General features: G+C 46.4%; 1 protein-coding gene across 3 annotated transcripts in view; it reads left to right on the top strand.

The window, feature by feature from the left end:
• The window catches only part of OPCML (opioid binding protein/cell adhesion molecule like), a 1117521-nt gene continuing 1100318 nt past the window's right edge, over window positions 8245–25447 (top strand). For all 3 annotated transcript variants that reach the window (NM_001319104.4, XM_006718846.4, NM_001012393.5), the window contains exon 1: window positions 8245–8482. Coding sequence is in view for 2 of the 3 variants with exons in the window: in XM_006718846.4 (XP_006718909.1) it covers window positions 8422–8482 (61 nt within the window). In the remaining variant the exon portion in view is untranslated. The remainder of the gene's footprint in view (window positions 8483–25447) is intronic.

Raw genomic sequence — 25447 nt, 5'->3', positions numbered from 1 at the left:
GCTAATCTCACAGACATGATAACAAAGGGTTAAAAAGGTACAAATCCCAAGGACAAACAAAAAATAGAAAAAAAATTGGAGGTGTGATGGATGTTTTCTTCAGAAAAAAAAAAAAAAAACAACAATCAGTGGCAACTGATTTAGTGAAGAAAGGACATTTAAGGGTCTGCAGGGTGACATGACAGATAGACTTAGACTGTTGGACCCAGGCCTGGGAATGAGAGGTACAGGATACCTTGGAAGACACAAATGGGGAGGGCTGAAAGTAAAGGATTGGTTGAAAGTCTGTGTCATACACTTCTCATCCCCAGAATTCCCTGATCCTCCCACTATAGCATGAATGGAAAGTTAATTTTTGGAAGGAATTGAAGAAGAGAGGCTCCAGTCTCAACCACAGGAGAGAGTTGAGGCCCTCTATTAAAAACAAAGAGGTTGAGAGTCTCCATCCTGAATGGTGAAACCCACTGAGCCTTCTTCTAGAATGAGAGAAGCCAGGATTTTACTCCCCTGGGAAGAGAATGAAGGGCTCCTCTGTGGGGAAATTTGTCTGGCTTAAGGACAAAAAAAAGGACCTACAACTGCTGACACTTTGCGGGAAGGGGCCCCAAGGCCAGCTCCTTGCCTGATAATCTTTAAAGGATCTGCCAGTCAATAATGCAAGTTAGTCTTTTGTTGCTTTTCTCTTGAATATAAAAGGAAGACCAAAGATCACCAGACAGTTGAGGAAGCTTTTCCGCATAAAAGCCAAAGACAACACAACTGAGGGAAAAAAAATACGTTATCTGAGGAAATGGAGATTTTGCAGGCAGCAAAAGGAAATCTCAGAAGCCTTAATTAATATCCTCAGAGAGATGTTAGAAGATATTGTGAACGTGAAACAAGAATAGGGAACTATTTTTTAAAAAAAGACAACAAAGAAGACCATTTGAAATTAATAGTTTGATAGTATAATTAACAAAATTCACTAGGAGAAATTAAAGTCAAGGGCATCTTGATGAAAAAGAGAGAAAATAGATGGAAACCAATCCAGGTACTCTAATGTCCTTTTAATAGGACCTCCACAAATAAGAACAAATAAAATAGAGAAGAGAAACATTTTGAAGCCACAATGTGAAAAAAATTCAAAATTCCCAGAGTTAAAGGACATGAACATTTTCACACTAAGAGAGTTTATTGAGTGCCTGTCACAATGAAAGGAAACAGATCCACATTAAGAAAGATCTTTTTTTTTTATTTTTTGAGAGGGAGTCTCACTTTGTCACCCAGGCTGGAGTGCAGTGGCGCCATCTCGGCTCACTGCAAGCTCCGCCTCCCGGGTTCACGCCATTCTCCTGCCTCAGCCTCCCAAGTAGCTGGGACTACAGGCACCCGCCACCACGCCCGGCTAATTTTTTTGTATTTTTAGTAGAGACTGGGTTTCACCGTTTTAGCCGGGATGGTCTCGATCTCCTGACCTCGTGATCCGCCCGCCTTGGCCTCCCAAAGTGCTGGGATTACAGGTGTGAGCCACCACACCTGGCCTAAGAAAGATCTTTACAAAATTTTGGAAAGCCATGAATAAAGAGAATACCCTAAGTATTTACTGAGACAAAATAAAGCTGTCTCACATACAAAGATACATAAATTGATATTCATCAGACTTTTCAACAAAAATGCTTAAACTTAGAAGAACATAGAGAAATGACTTCAAAATTTGAAGTGGATACTCATTCTCAACCCAGCATTCTATGTGCAGCTTAACTAGCTATACATGTTGAGTGAGGTAAGAATAAAGCCATTTTCCAGTATGCAGATAACCACCTAAGTATGCTTTCTCAGCAATCTATACAAAGATGAGTTGCATTAATACAAGGAAAGACACCGAGAGGAAAGAAAACCTGCCTCCAGAAACAAGGGAGAAGCACAGGCTGTTGTATTCTCTTGGTAAAGGGAAGTCCCAGATGACACCTGAGGTTCAGGGGGATGAATGACTCTGGGGAATGCCTTTAATACAAGACATTGAGAGATTACTCAATTGATTCAACAATAATGAGACAAATTTTAGAGTTCTGCAGAAAGTTTGGGGAGAGTCAATGATAGGTCTATAAAAAATTAAGCAAATTAAACAAAAAGGCAAATATTATCTCCAGGAAAAGCAAACAGTTGCATAAGAAAGACAATAATAAAAAATGTCAATACTGCATATTGATATAATTAAACAACTGCATATTGATATAATTAAACACTGTGAAATTATTTATATTTAAAAAGGGGGCCGGGTACGGTGGCTCATGTCTCTAATCCCAGCGCTTTGGGAGGCCGAGGCGGGCGGATCACCTGAGGTCAGGAGTTCAAGACAAGCCTGGTGAACATGGCAAAACCCCATCTCTACTAAAAAATACAAAAATTACCCAGGCGTGGTGGCAGGTGCCTGTAATCCCAGCTACTCAAGAGGCTGAGGCAGGAGAATCTCTTGAACTCGGGAGGCAGAGGTTGCAGTGAGCCAAGATTGCGCCACTGCACTGCAGCCTGGGTGATAAGAGTGAAACTCCATCTGAAAAAAAAAAAAAAAAAAGGGAGGAGAGGTGCAAGGTTAGCAGGGAACAAGGTTGAATCCTCATCTCCTGTGGTAGGTAGTCAGTAAATCATTTTAAAAATTGTTAAATGAAGAAGTGGAAGAATAAGCACTTTTTTTTTTTTTTCAATCTTTCACCGGGCTGGAGTGCAGTGGTGCGATCTCAGCTCACTGTAACCTCTGCCTCCCACGTTCAAGTGATTCCCCTGCCTCAGCCCCCCGGGTAGCTGGGACTACGGGCACCTGCCACCATGCCCAGCTAATTTTTGTATTTTTAGTAGAGACGGGGTTTCACCATGTTGGCCAGGATGGTCTCAATCTCTTAACCTTGTGATCTGCCCGCCTCGGCCTCCCAAAAATATAAGCACAATTTTAAAAGAAAGGAAGCAAATACCGGAAGAAATAGCTAAAAGAGATGGAAGTTGTTGCTCCCGCGGAGTGGGATTTGGAATGCTGTTTTCAATCTTAAGCAGTTAACACTAAAAACTTGATAAACTATGTAATATATTACTTTAAGGTTTAAAAAATTTTTTTAAGTATGATGCTGACATCATGTAGTAAACCTTGTAATGATTTCATGTAAGCGTATCAGAGACCTTTGAGGGAGGATGGAAAGCATGTGGCCTTTGGAGTCAGCCAGCTCTGAGTGAATCTCAGCTCTGCCAATGCTCTGCAGAGCCTTGGGGAAACCCTAGCTGACATTTCTGTGAAGTGTGTGTTGCAGTGTCTACTTTGTGGAAGGGATTGGTGTGAAGAGTAGCCACGGTGCATGTTAGCCACCTTGCAGGGAAACTGGAACGTAGTGCATGTTTCATAAGTGATACTTATTGTTAAGGCTTTCTTGGGCTTGACCAAGATATTTTGTGAACATATTCAAATTTCGAAGAAGTATCAGAAATAGGTTAAGACCTGAGTCCAAAGGTACAACTCCCATTGTAAGAGAGTCCCTGGGACTTCAGAAGGGCTTACTCTTCTAGTCATAAGCCAGTCATTTAATAAATCATTGCTCCTTTGAACTAAATGACACCTTTGTGGTTTAAAGGAGTTAATGTGCCTTCCAGAGTCTTTAACTTGCTCTCAGGGAATCACTTACAGCTCAGGAGGCTCCAGTTCATTTTGGAATATTGAAAGCTTAAGTGGAAGAGTCAGATTTTAATCTGTAATGTTTTATCATCTTCCGCTTTTTATTTTTTGCAGGCAGCCCCCAACCCTAACAAGTATTTCAGTATCTAAAAATCCATCCTTCCTGTTCCATTGTTGGGCTCCAAGTGCACCAATCCATCATCTTAACACTATTTACTGCAGAGTTTGTCTCAGCAAAAGGTTGGGTGAATGTGAATTGCACTAAAGAGCTGTTAGTGTCCACACAGTCTACTCTCTGCTTCCGGGGTTTGCACTTGCTGCTTTCATCTGCCAGGAACAATCTCGGGCTTTTCCTCCTTCTGGGAAGCTCCTACTGGGATCCCAGCTTAGAAGTCCTGTCCTCAGGGCAGTCTCACACTCTCCCCGTCCCCAGGTGTATCTGTATCTCATGCTTTGCCATAGACCTATATATTTTCTACACACACTTGTCATAAATGTAATCAATTCACGGTTCAATGTTCTCCTCCCCCACTGCTCTCTGAATTTTGGAGGGGTGAGGACAGTCTTGTCTTGCTTTACATTGTATCTCTTTGCATCACATGTAGTAGGTTTGTACCTGGCCCAGAGTAGGTATCTAAGAAATATTTATTGCATGAATGAATGGATACATAAAATACCACAAGGTAATCTCTTCATCAGTGCAGTTCTCTGTATAACAAAGAAACAATATGAGTCAGAGGAAGTCCCTGTATCCTTGCCCAAGGTCATACAGCTGGTGTGAAGGAGCAGGACTGGCATCAGGCAGGAGCACACCTTGGACCCAGGGGGACCTCACCCCTGATCCAACATTCCCATTCCCCATCTGGCCCTAGGAAGCTGGCCGCTGCCTTTGAAGATGTCAGCCCAACACCGCTGTTCCAGAAGAAAGAATCCTAGTCAGAAGTGCAAGTGTGACAGTCAAGTCTCCTTGCACAACTGCCTGGTGTTGGTTGGTTTGTTCCCCCACATTGTTGCTATTTAAATACAGTTTTGATGATTTTGTTTGCTTTGGAAGAAGAAAATAAAGATTCACAGAAGGTATAAAATTGCATATTATTTACCCCAGAGAAGAGAGCAGTCCCCCTAGTAAATATGCATTGAAGCATTTTTATTTGTATTTGTATTTTTTAAAGATGTTTAAATAGACCCAGTAGACCGTAATATCTCTTTACAGAGTTGGTGCCATCTATTGATTAAATATGCATTTATACATTTCTTCCTCTACTTTTTTTAAATAAAAGAGACATATGTTTTAATCATATAATAGACCTAAAAGAATTGATCAGTGAAAATACATATTTATGTGTTTCCTTAAGGAAGATCATATTAGGTATACAAATTTTAAAAATTTTTTCCTGCTATACATAGAAGTGTGTTAAATGTGAATTTAATTAAAAGACTTGGGGTATGTGTGTGTGTGTATGCTCATGTGTGTGCATGTGTGTGGACTAGGAAAAATGTTGGCAGAATAAATGGGTGTTTTTAAAACAAAAATATAGTTGACAGGGAAAGGTGAAAGAATGTAAACTCTGGAGTAAGAAAGACCTCAATTTCCTTGCCACTTATTAGTCTTAGAGGAGGGACTCGAGACTCTCTGTAACTTGTTCTATTTATTTATCTTTGAAATGGGCTAGCAATACAGAGAAAATTTATGAAGTTCCTAGGATTGTGATTGGCCCAAGACAGTTTAATGAAAGTTTGCTCCTGTCTGGCCACTAGCTACCGACTAGTAGTGTGTGCCCCTCTTTCCTGGAGTGGGGTTGGGGCTGCATGGAATGCACTTCCATGTCCTCAGGTGCTACTGCACAGGCAGCGCTGGGACTCGGTCCCCTCCTAGGCTGCCAGTGCTGCTCCTTCTCTCTCCTCCTGGTGGTTAAGAGCACCAGTGGTGAAGGCAGGCCTTGAACCGGGGCTCCACACCCGGGCAGCTCTGCAATGTTGGGGATGTTATTAAAGCTCTTTGAGCTCCAGTCTCTCCCTCTAGTCTGTGTGGGTGATAAATAAATAGGGATTTATAAGGGCAATACCTGAGTGATTGGCATGTGAATATTCAATAAAATGATGGTGCCCAATATGATAATTTCTTCTAGGGAGTCGCTTATTTGGAAACAGAAAAACCCAGGATTAAATTTTGGCTGTCACTAACTAGCTGTGTGACCTCGGATAAATTACCTAACCTTTCTAAGTCTCGGTTTCTTCATCTCTCAAAAAGGCATAATTACACCTTCATAGAGTAACGGCTAGGAATTGAATGTGATAATATTTTTAAAAAAAATCTAGCCTGCAGAGGGTGAATACATGATGTCTATTATCCGTAGAATGCCATCAGTCACTACGTCCTCCTAACTCTTCTGCGTTCCACATACAACCCCCTTCTTTTCCTCTTCTACTGCTACCACCAGTTCCAGGATCTATCAAACTTGGGCCATGCCTACTAACAAGTGTGCTTGCCACAATCCCTCCTGTACACTTCACCCAGATTAATTTCCATAAATTAACTCCCTCTCATTCACAGCGCTCCCCTGCTCAAAAAGAAATTAACTGTTTTTCCCAGCAGGGGGAAATTTCTAAATCACTGGTCTAGGACTCAAGGTCTTTCTCTCTTGGTCTCCCATCTCCTCCCCTAACTCCCCCCTGCAGGGTTTCTACCTGTGTCTGCTCTCTTCCCCTCCATGAGATGTCTATCTCATTTCTGTGGCCTATCTGGTCTCTCCCACAATTTCAAGCCAGTTGTATTCTCCAGCGTATTCAGCCACTGGTAATAATTCTGGATTTCTGCAGGATTCCAGCATTGCCTGAAGGATTCACATATCAATTTGCTTGTGAACGACATGTTTGCAGTGATGAGGTCTACAAAATTTGACTCTAACAGTGTGTACGTGTCCTATTATTTTTATGTACATTCGCAAAGTCACAATGCTAACTTTTGGCTGATCTCCTGACTTATATTGTATGCCCTTTATAGACGAGAACAAATCATATTCTTCATATTCTCATCCCTGAAAAAATGACTATGTTAAGTAGGTACTTCATAAGTGTCAGCGGATGATACAATCATCATCTGTTTTCTCTTTTACTGCTGAAGTTTTCTGACTTGTTCATAAGGAGGGGAGTAATCAATTGTTTTACTTCTTTAAAAGTAAACATGATTTATTTTATAGAAAGAGAGGCGCTCAGTCAGGCCCAAAGAACTTGTTGGCAATTGGCTGCTTTATAAAAACTGTGTGGATTTTGCAGGACAGACCTGGGTTTTTATCTTAACTCATTAGCTGTGTGGCAAGTCACTGAATCGCTGTCAACCTCAGTTGAAAATTCAGGGGTCATAATGCCTACAAGGAAGGACGCTGGTGAGGATTAACTAAAGTGATAGAGGTGAATACCTGCCCATAGTAGGTCACTTGGGAAAACTTTGGGAATTGCAGCAAAGGAGGAAGGGAGAAAGACCTCCTGTGGAGTGTCCCTCACAGACCTCAAGGTGTGGACACGTGGAGCTGGGAAGGAATCCAAGCCACTTGAGGTCTTCGGAGAGCACCTGGGACAGAAATCGTCTGCTGAGTCCCTTCTCTAATACTTGGTGCTATTTTGATCACAGACCCTCCAAGTTCAGGGTATAGTTCAGTGGCAGCACCACTCAGCCAGCAAGGTGTGCTGCTTACAAGCACGTGTTAGGGAGGGCAAGCAGGCCGTTTTAGAGCAGGGGAAAGTTCTGAGGTTTCTTACACCCAGAGATACTGCCATCCTGTGTAAACTGCCGGTGTAAACTGCCATTCCAGAGGAAGGGACAGACTGGACCCTGAAAAGGAGAAGCAGAAAAAAAAAAAACAGAAGGAAGCCACAGGTATCCTTCTGTGGCCTTCTCCTTGTGAAGATTTCCGATGACTTCAGCAAGTTTCCGCCTCCTTGAGATCTAATCTGAATCTGTCCCTGCCTATGCTGTAATCATAGCAATTGTTTGAGCTTCTATAGCATCTTGCCTTGGTAGAGTTTCAGAATGCTCTGATTGTGGGGAACTGGCCAATTCTCCCTGCATCATTGGTTTAAAACCGTAACATGCCCATCTCCTTACTGGGAAAACCAACTGCTTCCAAATGCTGTTAATGGCCGAATGGAGGGGTAGGGTGCAGATTTAAATGTCTGAGCTCTCCCCGTGGGTAGCAGTTCCTGCTCCATCCCTGCCTGGAGACTAGGAAGAAGGAAGAATGATAAGGAACTGGCATGGGCATTAGTCACATTTCTGCCAAGCAACCTTTCTTTCTTGGTGTGCCCTGAGCCCTGCTGGCAGTGCCAGGCCCTCTCCACTGCCCACCAAGGAGCTCGTGTGTGTTCACGTGTCCACGTGAGCCCCACATCAACATACTCACACAGATAGCAACACGCAGGGCTGTGCTCCGGTGAGGGGGTGAGTGAGGGGCCGGCTTCGACTCCCCTTGGAGTCAAGCCTTCCAAGCAGGAAAGTCTCCTTCCGTCGCTCAGGAGAGTGGAGCCAATGCGTGCCTTGGAGGACTGCTCTGAGCCCTGTGCAGATTGGTGCTGATGATTCTTACCAGTTGTGTGCAAGAAAAGAAATCAGAGACGCTGCCTGCCTGCTCCCATCTCTCGCGCGCTCTCTCTCTCTTCTGCTCTCTCCCTCCCTTTGCAAACATTGGATTTAAACCTGCTCAGAATTCAGCACAGAGGAAGGCAGCAGCGGTAGCAGCAGCAGAAGCAGTAGCAAGCCCGGCAGCTGAGAGCACCGCAGCGTCGAGATGTACCATCCTGCCTACTGGGTCGTCTTCTCGGCGACAACTGCCCTGCTCTTCATCCCAGGTACCGTACAGGGGAAGGGTGTTTTCTCTCCCTGGGGTGATTGTACGACGTGAGAGCAGGAGAGGCAGTGGGGAGATGGAGAGGCAAGGAGGAAGGGGTGAGGACAGGGAGTGTGAGATGCATGTGAGTGAAAGAGGTAGGCTTGCTGTGTGCACGCACACACACACTCACTCGCTCACACGCGCGCAGATGCTTTCAGCACGGGATTTGCTCTCTGTTCCGGGGGATCCAGTGAGCTGGGTTCGAGATCTGCACCATGCTGTGAGGCACTGCTGTTTCAGTGAAAGTCACCAACTGGCATTAACCAGCTGTGGTCCTGGGGGTAGGAGAAGAGGGGTTTGAACTCCCAGCCATAAATCCTTCTTGCTGCCTATGTTGGGACCTGCAGGGTGGAAGGGGCACCCTCTTATCTCTCTCAGTCGTGGTGGTCTCTCTCTGTTTCTGAATCAGTCCAGATCTCTGCGCCTCCCTGTCTCTCTCTCTGTTTCTTTTCTCTCTCTCTCTCTCTCTCTCTCTCTCCCTCTCCACCTCTCCCCACTCTCCTCCTCCCTCCCTTCCTTCGGAACTGCTCTCCCCTACCCTCTCCCCCTGGAGCTCCTTCCCTGCCCCATCCCTCCTTCTCAGCTCACTCATCTGCTCCTGCATTTCTTGTTGTAACACAGGCCCTCTACTGCCTGCCGTCCTTTCTTTATCCTTCCACCAAATGGGCAGATTATGCCCTTGAAATTCGGAATCCTCTCAGTATCTCCTTCCTGTTCCTTACGTCAGGAATATGAATTTCCCTTGGCAGAATTTGGGATGTCCCTGCTGAGGGAAGGTTGGAAATTTGGATTTGCCTGATTCTCCCCAGCCCCTTCCCCACCTTGTCTAATGATTTAAATGTGATCCCACCTCTCACAGCAGTTATTTGTTTGGGGAAAACAAATCTGCAGTGACACAGGTAAGATGCTGCAATCCTACCAAAATGAGCTTAGCAGAAGCGTTGCAAAATTGAAGGCATCTTAATAGATTTGATAATTGCACAGGAGTCCTTTGCAAGCAGACAACTGAATGCCTGCAGGCATCTTTCAAACAATGCCGAAGGGGCTAGGTTATGCTTGCCAAGGTTTTAGGCAGCAGCAAAAGTGTCGGTTTTCATACCAAACCGTCGCACAGTCAGGATCTCTTTTTTTCCCCCAAATTGAGATAAATGCATTGTGTTAAACATTAGCTTAAACCTAAATTTTCATACATATATACACAGACAGGAATGCTAAGATTTTAAAACCTTACCTGCCTTTTTATAGGTAAAACATACAGTTTTATGTTTCTATATTCAGTATTACTTGGTAGGGTTTTGTGGGAATATTTTCAGTGTTGTTTTTAATAATATAATTCCCTGAGTAGTCCTAAGATGCCAAAGTGAAATCAGAAAAATGGAAGTTTACTGGGGAGAAAGAAGAGAGGATCAACTAAAACAAGTAATCCAGCCTGTAATGTTTTGTAACACCTTGTGAAGATGGCACTTTTTAAAGCAGGGATGGGCTCTGCATAACCATGTTCCCAGCTGTTTGTTTTAGGCTGACCAAGAAGTTCAGAGTGGGGGTTGCTGTTGTTGTTATTCCAGATTCCAGCAGCATCCTAGGGGGTCCAGCCTGGGGGCTGTGCTCAGCAGGGAAGGCAGAGCCAACGGAACACTCAGTACCTGCCTGAGCCTGGTAGAGGGAGCTAGGTGGGTGCACTGGGTCCGTGGCAGGAGAAGACAAACTTTCCTGCGTAGGCAAGTCCCCAGCTGGATGGCAGCTCCGGGGGGCCTCCTCATACCCGCTTCCCCTCCTCTCACTGTGCTGGAGCAAAGATCAGGACCCCCATCCCAAGGGAATCCTGGCTGTATGGATGCGCCCCTTATGGCAGAAATCATAACATTACACTTTAGAAAGCAAGGCGGGGGGTGAGCCCCAGTCTGCAGAAGCTGCATTGCAGCGCGCCCTGAAGGAGCCAGGAGCCAGGGTGAGACCTCCTTCTAGGGGTCCCGTGGCACTGCACTGGTGGGGAGCAGGCAGAACTTGCTTGCAGGAGAAGTACCCGAAACTAAAGCCGGCTGAGGGAAAGGAGGATGAACCTGCACCCCTGCCTGACCGTCCTGAGCATGGTGGATGAACGACAATGACAAGCTATCCCCCCCACCCCCCTGCCCCCATCTTCTGGGGGAGAGCAGGGTGTGGACATCACTGCAACATGCCCTCTTTCTGAAGAGTCTGTTACCTGCTTTGAGGGCTACTCTTATGCTAATTGTGTCAGGAGCCCGGTAAGAACAAGAACGGGGAGGAGAAAAAGTTAGCCTTAGAAGGTGTCGGTGAAAGAACGCTTCGCATCTTGAGGGGTTCCTGTGGGAAACCTGGCTGGATCCGGAAGTTCTGATGAGCTGCCATGGCTTACTTGCGACTTCTCCTTTCTCTTTTCTTTTACTTCCTGTTATAGCTTTAGACTTTTTTTTCTTTGTTTCAAATGATGATGCTTTTTCTCCCACAGGGATTAATACCAGCTCGTTAGCCACTTACTTTCACTGCGTCTAAAAACCAAAGGCTGATGTAATAATGGAACCTTGACCTGGTTAGGCCTCAATGCCATTTTATTCTGCAGCTTCTATTTCTTGGTAAAACATGTATCCATCCCAGAGTAATTTTAAGGTTAATGCTGTTGTCGCCTGGTACCTTCCACTGATATCACAAATAGCTTTTCTAGGCAGAATTTCTGGGATGGAAAAGACAGTCACCACGTGGAGACTGAGATGAGCCCACACCCAAGACAGGGCAGAGGGCCCGTGGCCAACTGACTTGTCATGCTAGAGGCACAGTCCGAGGCTCTGGACACCCCTGGTTGGGGTAATTTTGTTGTTCTAGTAGGAGGAGAGAGATAGTCTGGGCTGGTGGCCTTCTTGACCTTGGGTCTGGGGGCTCTGTAGGAAGCAGGAAGCGAATACTGCTAGATATGTGCATCAGAATCACCTAGGAGGAGAGAGGCAGGTTAAAATGTGGAGTCCCTGTCCTCGTCTCAGACGGAAGCATTTTGAACTAGCATCCCAGGTCCTTCTGATTACCTGCAAACCACTCTGTCTGTCACTTAAAACCTGTGACCATGGCCTACAGTATTTGAGTATTTGAGTATTTGAGTCAAAACCTGTCTTCTTCTTGTCTTTTCTCCTCCAGCTTTGAGAAATGGCTCTGTGGCCATGGGGCAGGGTGGAGTAAGGGCAAGAAGATGTTGTCATTGCCAGCAGCCAAGGCTCAGTTCCTGAGGCACAGTGCTGCCCAAGTCCTTCCAGGGGCCAGCACCATGATGCAAGGATTGCTAACTTGGAAGACTTCTTTGCTCAAATTCAGACCATGACTTCCTGTTTGTCCCCTTCTTCTTGGCCCATCCTGTTTGTATCTCCTTCGTCTTGTGACTCTAAGCAGGGGAGTTAGCTGGGAGGGGTCCCCATTTACCCAACCTGGATTGAGCTGTGTCTTCATGCGCTGATCTGTGAGTCCAGGTTCTGGGTACAACTTCATCTCTTGCACCTTAAACAGGCTTTGCCCGTTTAGGGTCAGAAAACCCTGGGCTTGGATAGAAAATCCCCCGAGGTTTAGGATTCTTCCTTCTCTAGCACACACCTTCCTGCTTCTTCCTTCAGGGAAGTCCCCAAATCTTGAGTTTCTGGGCTGGGATGTTTGGCTTTGGGGTAAGGCCTGGGGGCAGGCTCTACAGCCAAGTTTTGATGAATTCCTTTCCTGCTCCTTAGCCTCTCACCAGCCCAGAGCCGGCGAACCTGCTAAGAGTGCCTGATGTGCACAAGGGGTCTAGTGGGGGAATCCACGCGCCAGACTCACTAAGAAAGAGATAGGAACAAGGACAGAGCATCTGGTCATGAGCAAGTTCCCATCGTCCTTTAGCCCATCATGGATTCACGCCATCATGTGGCCCTCAATCCCTTAAAAATGATCGACATGTTAATAAGGTTAGACTGCGTCATCTGCATTCAGCATGGGCCCAGTGGCAATAGCAGGTGCTGAGAAGGAGATAGCATCAGCTGCCTCATGAAGATGGCTTTTTCAGTAGCCTGGAACTGGGCAGCACTACTCAACCTGAGATTAATCAGAGATCCCGACGGGCTTGAGGTTCTCCCATGTTCCCTCGGTCCTGTCTGCCTTTGTGCTTTCTCGAATTCTTAGCACCCTTGGCCACATCTCTGTAACCTAGAAAATTACAGAAGGAGATTCTTTAGACAGCTGGCACTTGCCTGCATTTGTTGTCTAGCAGCTCTGGGCCTGGGTCTCCCATGCCAGCTACTGGGAACTATCTCTGGTGGTTACAGCCTCAAATCTGTGTCAGGGCTGCCTGGGGCTGAGTGCACTTCCCTTTAAGTGGGACTCCACCCAAACCTCTAAGTATGCTGAAAGCTGAGAGTGATCTCTTTGATTAGTGGCTCTTTGAGGCTTATTTGGTTGGTTCAAGGCATTCTCTAAGTCTCAGTTTACCAATCTGTAGAATGGGTTCCAGCCATGTATGAACCTTGTTTCCAACTGCACAGAGTAGCTGAACACCTAGGTTAGATGATAACAAATAAACACTTCTAAATTTTTATTATAAAAAAACTCATCCTGGTCCTCTAGGAATAGGGTAAAGAGAGAAGGCAACTCGCATGTTGGAGAAGGGGAGAGGACATTCCATATTGTTAAAAATGGGAGAAGATAAGGTAGAATCATACTGACCATATATGTATGTCTTTGTCACAGTGATGAAAATTAGTAAAAGACAATCTACTCCTTCATTTATTGAACAAGACTTTATATACGTTCTGATTAAACAATGTATTAAGATATTCTCCTGCCTCAAAAATCATTAATCGAGTAAAACAGGAAATTGTTAAGCTTTTTCTTCTTTTTGACCCCCAATAAAATATGCATTCTGACTTTGAGCTTTTAGGTCTTAGTTTTTCTGCTGTAGAAAACTAAGGCAACAGACATGGCACCTTTGGTCTCTCAAAACGTTGCTTTGTGGTATATTTGGTGGGGTGCTAGATACATGGACTTGTATGTCAGCCTTGGACAGCTGGAACTCCAGGAGCCCCATCTAATAGCCTTTGGCCTATGGGCACTGGCTTTTCTGATGCTGGTCCGCTGGACAGGGACCCCATCAGCCTGCAGCCCTGTTTGCAGATGGACTGTTGCCATCTGCCTGCAGCTGCCTGGGGCTGGAGACAGAGAGATATGGAAGCAAACTGTGATTCCTGTCAGTGAGCTCAAGTGTCAGCCCCCAGATGGTCTGTGGCTGCTGACAAGCCAGGCTGTCAGGAGCAGTGGATGTTAGCACCTCTGATACCGACTGGCACTTTCCAGACAGAGAGGGCCAGGCAGGTGGCTTCACCTTGGGGCGGCTCTGCTCTCCCACTCCTTCTGATCCCAGTCCTCAGTGCAGGGCTAGGTCCTGAGGACATTTGTCCCTCTTGCCTTTTATGCTGTTGGTGGGAGACCCAGACTTACAACTTGCTACTTATCTGCAAAGCCTTGGTTGCCTCTGCATTTTCCCTGAGGGGTGGGGATGGTTCTAACACAGTAGGGCATGGATGTAGTTCCACTTGCTGGATTTATACACCACTCACTTGATACCCCAAGATGGTGGTATTTGTATGGCTCAGGGAAGGATTAAAGGTAGCCCTGAGAAGGGAGCCAAAAGAAATCCAAAACCAGAGAGAAGCTTGAAGATGAATGTGCTTGCTACTGCCTTCCTCTAAGCATGTGAACATACATTCCCTCCTCTCTTCTTCACCACCCCCTTGCCAACCATAGATGCATGCCCCTTCCTGCACACATATACACGCAAGGCACACATGCATTTCCAAGCCAGAGTTTAGCTACTCTCAAAATCACATTCACAGCTCTTTAAGGAAAGCAAGTCTTCCCTCTTGCCTTCTATATCTGCCTTTCCAGAACTCCCAACTCTAGCCCCCAGCCTTGGTGCTCTCCCTGTGGGCACACATGGCAGGAGGCCCACAGGCTGCCTGTGCCAGACACGGCCATACATGTGTGAGTGCTTCTTCCTAGCAACGCAGAGATTCCCTGCACATCCACCCACTCGCCTCTGCGCCCCAGAGCCAGTAAGTAGGTGCTAGAGGCAGGGCTTTTGCTTGTCTCCCATCACGTCCTGTCGCCACCCCCACCCCAGACCTCTTGGTTCGGAGAGGCTGGGGACCATCCTGCAGTCACTAGCCTAACTTAATTAAAAGTTTACAAAATGCTTTGAGAACCCCCTGGGCAATGTGCTGGGTAAGTGCAAAGGATTATCATTATGATGCAGGCGCATTCTCGTTAATGAGCGGAGATGCTGTGCTGAGAGACCCCCGGAAAGGCCAAGATGAATTGATGCAGTGGGACACAGGCCGTTGATTGGAATGGCTCCTTGCACTTAGCATGGGAAACGATAAGTGACAATCAGATTGCACAGTGAACTCCAACGTGGAGAAAACCAGGCTATCTGGCACTTCAAGGGGCAGAGTCTCTCAAGTGGCCTGAGCGGTCATTCTGGAACCTTTATTCCTGGGGAATTTACAAATGGTGTTTTACCACACTTGGGAGTTACTAACGGTTTTAGAAACACAGTGGTCTCATTCCTTATGGATCACCTGGAAAAACTTATCTTTGGTCTCATTTGTTCCTCACTAAGAGACTGTGAGGTAGGCAGTGTAGATGTCACCCTATTGTGATCTGATCTTCGCGTTGCCTAAAACCCTATGTAGACTTCCGGTTGACTTTAGAATAGACTTCGAAACACTTCAAATGACCCACAAGGCCATGATCTGGCCCTGCATTCATCTAGCTTCATCTCCAGCTCTCTGCCTTTCCAGCTCTGGACTTTAGTCACTCTGGACAATCACAGTTCCGTAGACAAGGCCTGTTCCCTCCTTCCTCAAGGGCTTCACCTGTCAGGTTACCTGAGCTTGGAAAATTCTGATCCTCTTATAATTTTTTCTGGCTACACATCCTTTCCATCCTTCAGAACTCAGCTTAAATGCTGCTTTCCCAGGAGCTCATTCTTTATGCTTCAAAGTAGGCGAGGCTTCCCTGTTTATTGTGCAAGTCCTCGGAACCAGACTTCTCTTTTCTAAAACTGTGAGTCCATGTATTTCAAACTAATTCTTGGTTTTATGTCTCTCTTTCCTCCCTAGACCATTGTTTATACAGGCAGAGACCACACCTGTTTTGTTCTCCAATATGTTCTCAGTGCCTAGCACGGGTGGGAGAGAGCAAGTGCTCAAACAGTATTTGTTGAACAAATGAATGAGAGAATGAATGAATGAATAAATAAACACTGAGTGCTCACTTACTTTAGGCAATCATTCTGTTCCATCCCACTGAGTCCTCAAAGGCATTGAGGCCCCCAGTTTGGCCTGCCCAGCAGCTTGTCCCCTGCAGAATGAGGGCAAGAAGCTTGGGGATGTGCCTTGCTTCTGAGAGACGGGAATGTGCAGGGAATGCTTATAATGATTACTCATTCCAGTGTTCTTGCTTGTCAATAAACACCAGCTCTGAGCTACCGACCAAACACACATGCAGCAGCACAGAGCTGGAGCAGCACACTTTTGGATCTCACATCGCACACTGCGACAGACACGCCTGAGAGTGTGAGTCGTTCCGTAAACACAGATGTGGGCCCTAATGTGGGCTATTGGTTTAATACAAACTAAAATTACTCAGCACGTTTAATCAGGGTGTCTGCTGAAATGGCCCCAGTTATTTGAAATTTAGAGTCAGGCCCATGGTGCTAACAAGCAAAAACTGTACCAATCAAAAGGAGAATTCTGTTGTTCATAGGAAGTGCAATGTTGGGTTAGAGATACAAAAATGCAATTGCATAGCAGAAGGTCATGAATGGTCAATCAATGCTTAAACGGGTTGATGTTCATATGGAAAAGGTAAAAAGCAGCTTAGCAAATCACAGGATATAAAAAAGGGTGCTGTATCACTTCTTGCACCTACTCACTTATCGCAGTCTGGCCTATTTCACGGTCTTGCTGTTGTATGGCTGTGGGATTCTGAATGGCGGACATCCTGACTTATTCATCTCTGAATACTCTACAGTACCAAGCACATTTATTTATTCAACATGTGATTTATTGAGTGATTACTATGTGACAAATACTATGCTAGGCATTGGGAATGTATGCCTGAACAGAAATTGTTATGGTTCCTGCTCTCATGAAGCTTACAGTCCAGAGGGAGAGACAGACATGCGTCAAACAAACACCCAGACAGTTGTGAAATCATGACCGACATGAAACTATGGAAGGGGAGGTGTGTGGTGCTGTGATTGTCTGTCAGGAGAGCTTGATCTTGCCAGGGAGGCTGGTGAAGCCTTGGTTATGAAAGTGACAATTGAACAGAGATTTGAAGGAGGAGGAGTAGAAATTATCCACACCCAAGAGCAAAGACCAAAGGAAGAGGCAGAATGAACAGGACGGGCAAAGTCCCATAGCATGAAGAATCAGAGCACATTCTCCCACCTGACTGGAGTGTAGAGGAAGAAAGCATGGGCCAAGATGAGGCTGGCAGCCTGGTAAGGGGTCAGAAGATGAAGACAGCCCTTGAAGGTCATGTGAATCATTTTGGTCTTTATCCTAGAAATAATGGAACTCTGTTGATGTGATTCATGATTTACATTTTTTATTCTTGTTCTTGTTGCAGTTGGCAGAATAGATTGGGAGAGAACAAACCAGGAAGGGATAGACTAGTCGGAAGACTACTGTAGTAGTTCAGGCAGGAGATGGCTGTGCCTTGGAACTTAGGAAATATTGGTTGGAATGGAGACACGAATGCACTTGGGAACTTTTAAAGGAAAGTTGTAGGTGGGAGTCAGAATCTGCAGAACTGAAATCTAAGTCTCCCCACTGTCAGCACCAACACTCCTGGGAGAGTGCTGAGAAGAGCGTCCGTCCTCAGGTTCCTGCTTGTATGCTATCTCTTTCAGTTTAGGTGTGATCTTGTCCTGGAACAAGGAATAGGTTGTTTTTAGAAATCCCATACTTCTTGGCGGTCTAATAATCTCAATCTCTTAACTGGTGCCCTCTCTGGGTCTAATGTAGGGCTTAAAATTGAATAACTCGGTTTCTCTACCCTTCAAAAATATTACAAAAAGCCCTAGTTGTGTTTTGTCTTCTGGATTCTGTCTGTGGTTGTTTCCTCCTGGAAGAAATCAGGCATTTTAGAAAAGCGCTAATTGGACGCCATAGTAGCTTGTGGCCACCAAGATGCAACTAGTTCACAAATATTATCACGATGCAAAGCATGTATGACCTCCACATGGCCCACCGCCTAGACCCCTCTGAGCAGAGAGTGGCATCTATGGCTGGCTCCCTACAAACATTTTTTAAATTGCAGTAATTTATTTAAAAAGTGAAAGGTCCTTGGAATCAAAAGGGACCTTGGAAATTGTCTAGTTGAGTGCTTTCATTTTATAGATGAAGCACTCGGGCAAAGGGCATCTGAGTGTCTTACCTGAAGTCACATAGTCAGATAGTGACTGAGCCCCCTCTTGAATACAGCTCTTCTCGTCACCTGTCGCGTGTCATATCAAATCATAGTGAAGGGCTGGACTGAACTTTGCCTCCCAATCTGTTACGCTGCTGGAAAACGGACCTATAACCTTGACCATTACTGTGTTCCCTTGAAGCTCTCTCACCTTAGTGTACAAAGAACATTGTGGAACAAGGTAGCTCCAAGCTCCCTCTTACCCAAAGATCAGAATCTAGGTCAAAAACAAACAAACAGAAGCCCTGTCTCCTTCAGTGGCATTTGCATACTTCGAATGACCTTTGTAATGATCTGGGAGACTTCCAGAAATACTTTGCTCCTTGATATGCAGAAGAATATGTTCAGGGTAGTACAATACCAAATGCCAGATACGTGTCAACTTGACTTGTTTGGTCTACGCACCATGACAGGTACCTGATTTTATCATCACTACACTATCAAAACATCTATTTTTAAATATCTGTTTGGGCTTGGCTCTGCACTAAGCCAAGAGAAAATCTATACTGAGAATCCCACAGTCTCTACATTAATGATTCATGTTAAATGGTGGCTTAGAGTGTACAAATCACATACATGTACGGCATGACTATTTTGTGTGCTACTAAGGGAAAGAGCCAAATGCACTAGGTCTTCTTACCTCCCCACTCCTAATACCACCACACTGCCTTCACAGTTGACAACATAGACATGGGTGCAATCAAAACAATAGGTCCAAAAGAGCTGTAGACAAATGTAGAACAGGAAGCCAGAGTTCAGACTCAAAACCATGCCAGATATGGTCAGATGGTAGCAGGCCGAAACAGGACAGTGGGGAGGCCAAGCCCCTATGAGAATTTCCATTCTAGGAAGAAAGGCCTACAGAAGCCTTTGGCTTCTCCGAATAAGCTAACCTGGTTCTCCTGAACATCCCAGTGCCAAGGGATTTCCCATACCCCTCAAAGAGAGGAGGATGTTGGAAGAGAGAATGTGGCAGATGGAAATAGCCCATCAGCTTACAGGCTCCAAGAGAAGCTGCAGTTTCCTTGGGAGTCCCCTGGCTTTATCCCATGGAGGAGAGAGTGCCCAGTCTTACTTGGCACTGGGATGGATGCCTCTTTGGGTGAAGCCCAGATGGGAAGGAATCATGAAAACCACTATCAGGATTTTGCATGTTTTTCTGGTGGGCCCCACCCTCCTTTTGTTTGGTGCGAATTCTTGAGAGTCAATGGATACTACCTTATAACTGCCATCAGTTTAGCCCACAATGTCCATGAAGATTGGGTCACTTCTTTCTTATGGCCCAGATGACTGTTTCTTTTCTTCTTTCACTGAAATTACTTATTTTTAAAGCAAACAATTAGCTATCCTGCCTTCACCGTGTGGAAGGAAGCACTGACTTCCTGACCCAGGATGTGGCCCCTGACTTTGCCTCTGACTTTGCCTCACAGCTTATGAGCCAAGTGATCTTGGGCAAGCAGTTTAATGTATTGAATACCTGTAATTCTCTCTGTAAAATCCAAAAGAACTGTTTTGCCTAATTCGCAAGTGGACCCAAAGGTCAGGAGAGGAGCCCGATGGACACACCCCTTCCGAAGTGCTGTGCAGTTCCAGGTTGCCAGGTCTCCTTGCCTTGCTTCGGAAGGCGACCCTTGTCTGGGCATTTCTCTCTCCATTTTCTGTGACTTCCTCTCTCTCTGGCTAGGACGGCTTGTGATGATAACTAGCAGTGGAGTGCATGCCAAAGAGTCTGTGACTCTTGTTTTGGAGCAGGAGGCCTATCCAGGGAACTCCTGCATTCACTTCCCAGGCATGAGTCAATGTTTGGTTTGCCTCTTTTTTCCCATGGAGAACACTGGGAAGTGGCTTATCTTTCCCCAGCTGAGCCCTGCCAGAGAACGTGGACTTTGCCATTTGGGTTGTGATGAGAGACCTGAAACGGGTTCAGAAAGAGCTCCAACACGGAGCCTCAAGTGAAGCTAAAAGTGCTCTCTGGCTCCGTGAAGACCAGGCCTGGCTGATAATGCCTGCCTCTTACAGTTGCAGTCACTACTAAAAGTAGAACTTCCGGGAATGGTGTTTGGCTGCAGAATATTCTTTTGTGGAAAGAGGGGTCCTCTTTGACACTACTGAACATGTTTTAGAAAGGGGCCTGACTGATTTCTCTACACATGGGCTGATGAATGCATCCCTAGAGGTTAGATTCGTCTTTGCCCAGGCCCAAGGGGAAACTACAACATCATCTCGTGTCCCCACAAAGCCTTGCACCCATGCTGGGCTAAGTCCAGAATGAGCACCACTGATTTAGCACCATTGTTTTTCTGCTTGCGTGGGAGAAAGGGGCTGCCTTTCTGGAATCAGTCATATACCCATCTTGTACTCTGCCCTAATCCAGCAGGCTCAGCTTCTTGGGAGCCTCAGAAAAAGACCCAGCTTGAGCAGGGATAGTGAGGTGGCCTGTAGTTCTGAAAATGGCCCTTGAGACCAGGAACCTCCCACGCACACTGCACTTGGGAAGAGTCCTTCTGTCTGTGTTACCAGGCTGTCTTCTGGGCAGCAAAAGTCCGCAGGACTTCAGCATAAACTGGGTCTCTGGAGGACAGGGGAGCTCTTTGTAACTTACCCACACATTGAGTCTTTGTCTTGCCTGGGGTGGGGTGGAGAGCTGCTCTAACCCTCCTTTGGGACTAGAAAATTCATTCTTCATTATGTCTTAATATTCATAAAGGTCTCTGAGCCTCACTTTGTATGGGCAGACTCTCAGAGACGTAAGGTGGCACCGTCTAGCTTTGGTTGTGAGCTGCTCAGCACCCAGCCCCAGGTCTGTCTCACATGCAGCAGAAGCTATGTTGATGTGGTCAAATTTCATAGAAACAGTGGATGCTACTTTAGAAGGCAATTAGACACAGCTAAGCTTGGCTGGTTGAAGTCAGGTTTGTCTGGCAGGCACACGTGCCTGTAGATTAGAGGTGCGGGAGAAGCCATTGACACTTTTACTCAGTCAGTATTCCAGAAGCACCATTGCAGCATGTGTGCCTGGGAGGGCAAGAGGTTTGTTTGTTATCAAGGTCATATTTTATGCTGTGGCTGAAGAGCAGAAACACAAGAGAGTTCAGGAAGATAGGGGAGATGGGAGAAATCAAGGAAGATGCATTATAGCTTTTTTTCCCCTGGTAAAAGCATCTTATAATCTTGATTCTCCTTTATTTTCAACTGTTCATGATTATTTTTTAGCTATATTTTGGTGGTGACATCTGGGAACAGAGTGACTGTGACAGATTTTTCAGTAAAGTTTCCCTCGTCCTTCTGTTGTGTCTCTCCCAGATGCTGTAGGACTTGCTTCACCATCAACAGATCTCACATTTAGGTCTATGGCTGGACTTTATTTTTCACAAATAAATTAATGCATAAAAATATGTTAATTATGCTTTCAGAATTTCCTGAAGTCTCCTCTTTTGTATTGCATTGAACATTTGGTGGTAGGTGGCAGAGGGAAGCCAGAAAGCCAAGGTTAGAACTAGGCAGAAAGTTAGGAAGAAAGTGGGACTAGGAATATCTGGAAGCCAGAGACAAGGAAGGGCAAAGGTGAAGCCCAGACCACCCAGCACAAGGTTCTGCTGGGACAGAGACGGAGGCAGAAGATGAGTCAGCCACCCCGCAACGGGAGCTCACAGTGCACCAGGGAGAAGGAATCCTGAGCCCTCAGGATGTTCCTGTGCAGGGCCGAGGACCTCCCGTGTTGAAGAGGAGGAGAGAGGCTTTCAGGGACTGTCACCCACAGGGCAAGCACCTCTGTGGGCTGCTCCTGGCCTGACATACCAGAGGGCAAGTTGCAGCAATCAGACATGGCAGAACCCTAGGGGGCGGGCACAGGGCATCTCTGCATGGACAGTGGCTGCCACAGATCTTCCAACCTGCCACTGTTCACAGCCCAGCCCCCAACACACCAGGACCTGCCACTGTTCACAGCCCAGCCCCCAACACACCAGGACCTGCCACTGTCCACGCCACAGCCCCACACACACCAGCACCTGCCACTGCCCACGCCACAGCCCCACACACACCAGCACCTGCCACTGCCCACGCCACAGCCCCACACACACCAGCACCTGCCACTGCCCACGCCACAGCCCCACACACACCAGCACCTGCACACTGCCCAGCCATAGGCACACACACACTTGTGCATGCAAATTTATATGCACACACTCACACACACTTGCATACACACCCACACCCGCACACACTTATACACAAACATCCATGCACACACTTATACACACAAATACCCATACCTGCCCACACTTACACACAAACCCATCCATGCACATCCCTATGCACACACACACTTATTTACACACACCATGCCTGCACACCACCCACCCATATGAGCACAAACACACCCACACACACACACTTATACACGCTTCCATACACATTACACACATACATACTTTGCTTATATCCACACACCATGCCTGCACACCACCCACCCATATGAGCACAAACACACCCCCCCACACACTTATACACGCTTCCATACACATTACACACATACATACCTTGCCTATATCCACACACACCACCCATACACGTGACACATGCACACTCTTCTCCACACACACCACACATACATATGCACACCACACTCCTCTCGTGAACCTTTTTTTGCTTATGAGGGGTCTTTTGGAGGCTGTCTCTCTGTAATATGAGAGGCAGAAGTGCCATGGGACTCCTCCTCGGAACTGGCAGTGCTAGAGAAAGAGACTGCTTCCTGGGTGTCAGAAATGGAGAAATTTAGGACCCCAGTCATCCTCCTTGCCCATTCTGTGCCTGGTGCTCAGCAAGGTGCACAGCCTTGACTGTTCCCACTCTGCACACACAGTGGTCACGAGTACCCCCTGAAAGAGCGGCTGTGGTTACTCATTCACTCACTCTGGCTCAGAAAACTCCTCCAGTTCTCACCTCCCTTCTTCAGAAACACCTTGTTCTTGCTGAGATGTGTCCCTCCATTCAGCTCTGTGGCCTGGCGCTGCTCACTGCTGCTTGGACCCTGGCACCGATGGCTTTGCCCAGGAGTCAGCCTGGCTCCAATTAGTTTTCTGTCCCCTGAGATGATGCCTCTCAGATAGCTTCCCACAGCTCCTTGTCCTGATGCCTGGGTTTCTGTCTGTACAGTCCAAACCCCCACCGCCCTAGCGGTAAGTATGGGGGAGTTGCCCCCACTCCCTGACTCCCTGTTGCCCTTTATCAACCAGAGGAATTCCGCTTTTATTACACTAGCAGTACACGATCACTTTCCACTATTAAAAAATTAAGACCCGCTGTACTATCAGTGGGCTCCCAAATTCTTGTTTATGAGCTCCTGTGGTTTTTACAAAAACCATTTTAGGCATGCACATGCAATATATATTTATGCATGTATAAATGATGTATATAGGTTACTACTACACATGTATAGAAATATATAATCACTACACATATTTTTTCTTATATATAATGATAAAAAGAGTAAGATAAAAATAGATAAAAGTAGGAATTCTGATATTCCTTCCTTTCACATCCGTGTATCACTCAGAGGACCCTTGAGGACAAGCACCTCTTTGGAGACCATTGCAGAGAGTCGTGCCACGTGACTGGGAATGGAGTCCAGACAGAAATGTCAAATCATTCTTGGCAAGATGCGTCTAATGGCTTGGCTCTGACTGCCTCCCTCTGGGACTTCGCGTGGGGATGTGTCCTTGGCCACAGCTCACTCTGGATGTGGGTACAATGCCGTTGCTACGGAAGACCCCATCTTGTGGCAGCTGTAGTGTTCTTCAACAATGCTACCTTTGTGGTAAAAATGAGTAACACATCAGTGAATACAGACCTGCATCCAGAATATTCTGTTGTTTATATAAAAAATAAAAAAGACCACTGAAGGGAAATCAATGCAAACAGTCTTTGCGAGAAGAAAAGGCCAAGGACAGGGACCATCCATCCCCGTGGCTCGTAACTCTCCATCTCCAGGGTTCTCCGCCTTCTCCCGCTCTGTCCCGGCTCTGCACCGGCTCTGCACCAGGGACCATCTACCCTGGGGACACTGAGGCCTTAGCTTTCCTGGTTTAGGCTGGAAAGCACCCTTGCCCCTGAGGAGAAATTCAGCTAAGGTAGAGTTGGAATTTTTCAAAAGAGGTATTATTAAAACTCATTCATGGAGATACACAGAAAAGAGCAAAACTCGGAAAAACTGGGAGTGGATGCCTCTCCTTAGCATAGTTTTTGTCCTGAAGTGACTGGAGTCCAGCCCCAGCCCCGGCGGCGGTGGTGTGAGTGTGTCCCCCCAGATCTTTGGCTATGGGAAGTGTGACTGACTAGAAGCCTCGGATGTGGCTCTCCGAAGCCCCTGGCTGTGACGGCTCCAAGGTCGCGTTCTCTCAGCCACTATCTGGCCATAACAGAACGCAGTGGAGATATCAAGTCAGGTCTGCTGGTGGGAGATGCGTCTCCTCTGATGGAGACTGACACGAAGCCTCTCCAGGTACCTCAGAGCCTTCCCCAGAGCTGCACTGTGCTGTCTGCCTCCACCCACCAGCTGCCAGCCTTGCTCTCCCTCTGCGGGGGTCGCAGTCCCCAAGCTCTCCCAGATCTCATGGCTCCTGCCCAGCTTCTCTCCCAGTTGTTTCTCCCGATAAGCGCCCTGCACACGTAGACCTGTCCTTACTTCTGGTTGTTGGAGGATGAGGCTGGCGTTGTGTTGAGCAGGCATGGGAGCCAGCGCCAGACTCCATTTATCAGTTTCTGGTCTGTTATTTGCTCAACTGCTCACTCTGCGAAGTTGAACTAGGACTCACTCATGGCGCTGTGAGGACTGGGAAATCTTTAAGATCAGTAGAAACTTTTTTTTTTTTTTTCCTCTTCTTGGCAGAATCCAGGAGCCCCAGCCCTTGGAGACCCTGCCTTGACCCTTGAGGAAATTAAACATTTTTTGACATGTTTCCCCAAATTTCTAACTTGAGTTTCGGGCTTTTCTGGACTGGTGGTAAAGGTACTTCCTTTCCCTCTTGATGCACCCCAAGCCCATTACAATCCATCTTCTGTGTATTTCTCATATTCCTGGTTGGTTATCTGGGGCGTAGTCACTGTTTGGCTCATAAAGCTGGTCCACCCTTCAGTACTGTTCCTGTTCTTGATTGTTATGGTTTTGTATTAGCTTCTCGAACTTGATTTTTCTATTATCCCTATGGCATGGCTTTTCAACCCCGGCACTCTTGACGTTTTAGGCACAATAGTTCTTTGTTATGTGAATTTCCTGTGCATTGTATGATGTTTAGCAACATCCCTGGCCTCCAGCCACCAGATGCCAGTGGCACCTTTTGAGCTGTGACAGCCCAAGATGTCTCTAGACACAGCCAAATGCCCCCTGGGGAGCAAAATCATTTCTGGTTGAGAACCACTG

Source organism: Homo sapiens, chromosome 11, assembly GCF_000001405.40.
Source record: "Homo sapiens chromosome 11, GRCh38.p14 Primary Assembly".
NCBI classification, from domain to species: domain Eukaryota; kingdom Metazoa; phylum Chordata; class Mammalia; order Primates; family Hominidae; genus Homo; species Homo sapiens.
Note: the sequence above shows the minus strand (reverse complement) of the source record. Positions and strands in the feature narration are given on the sequence as shown.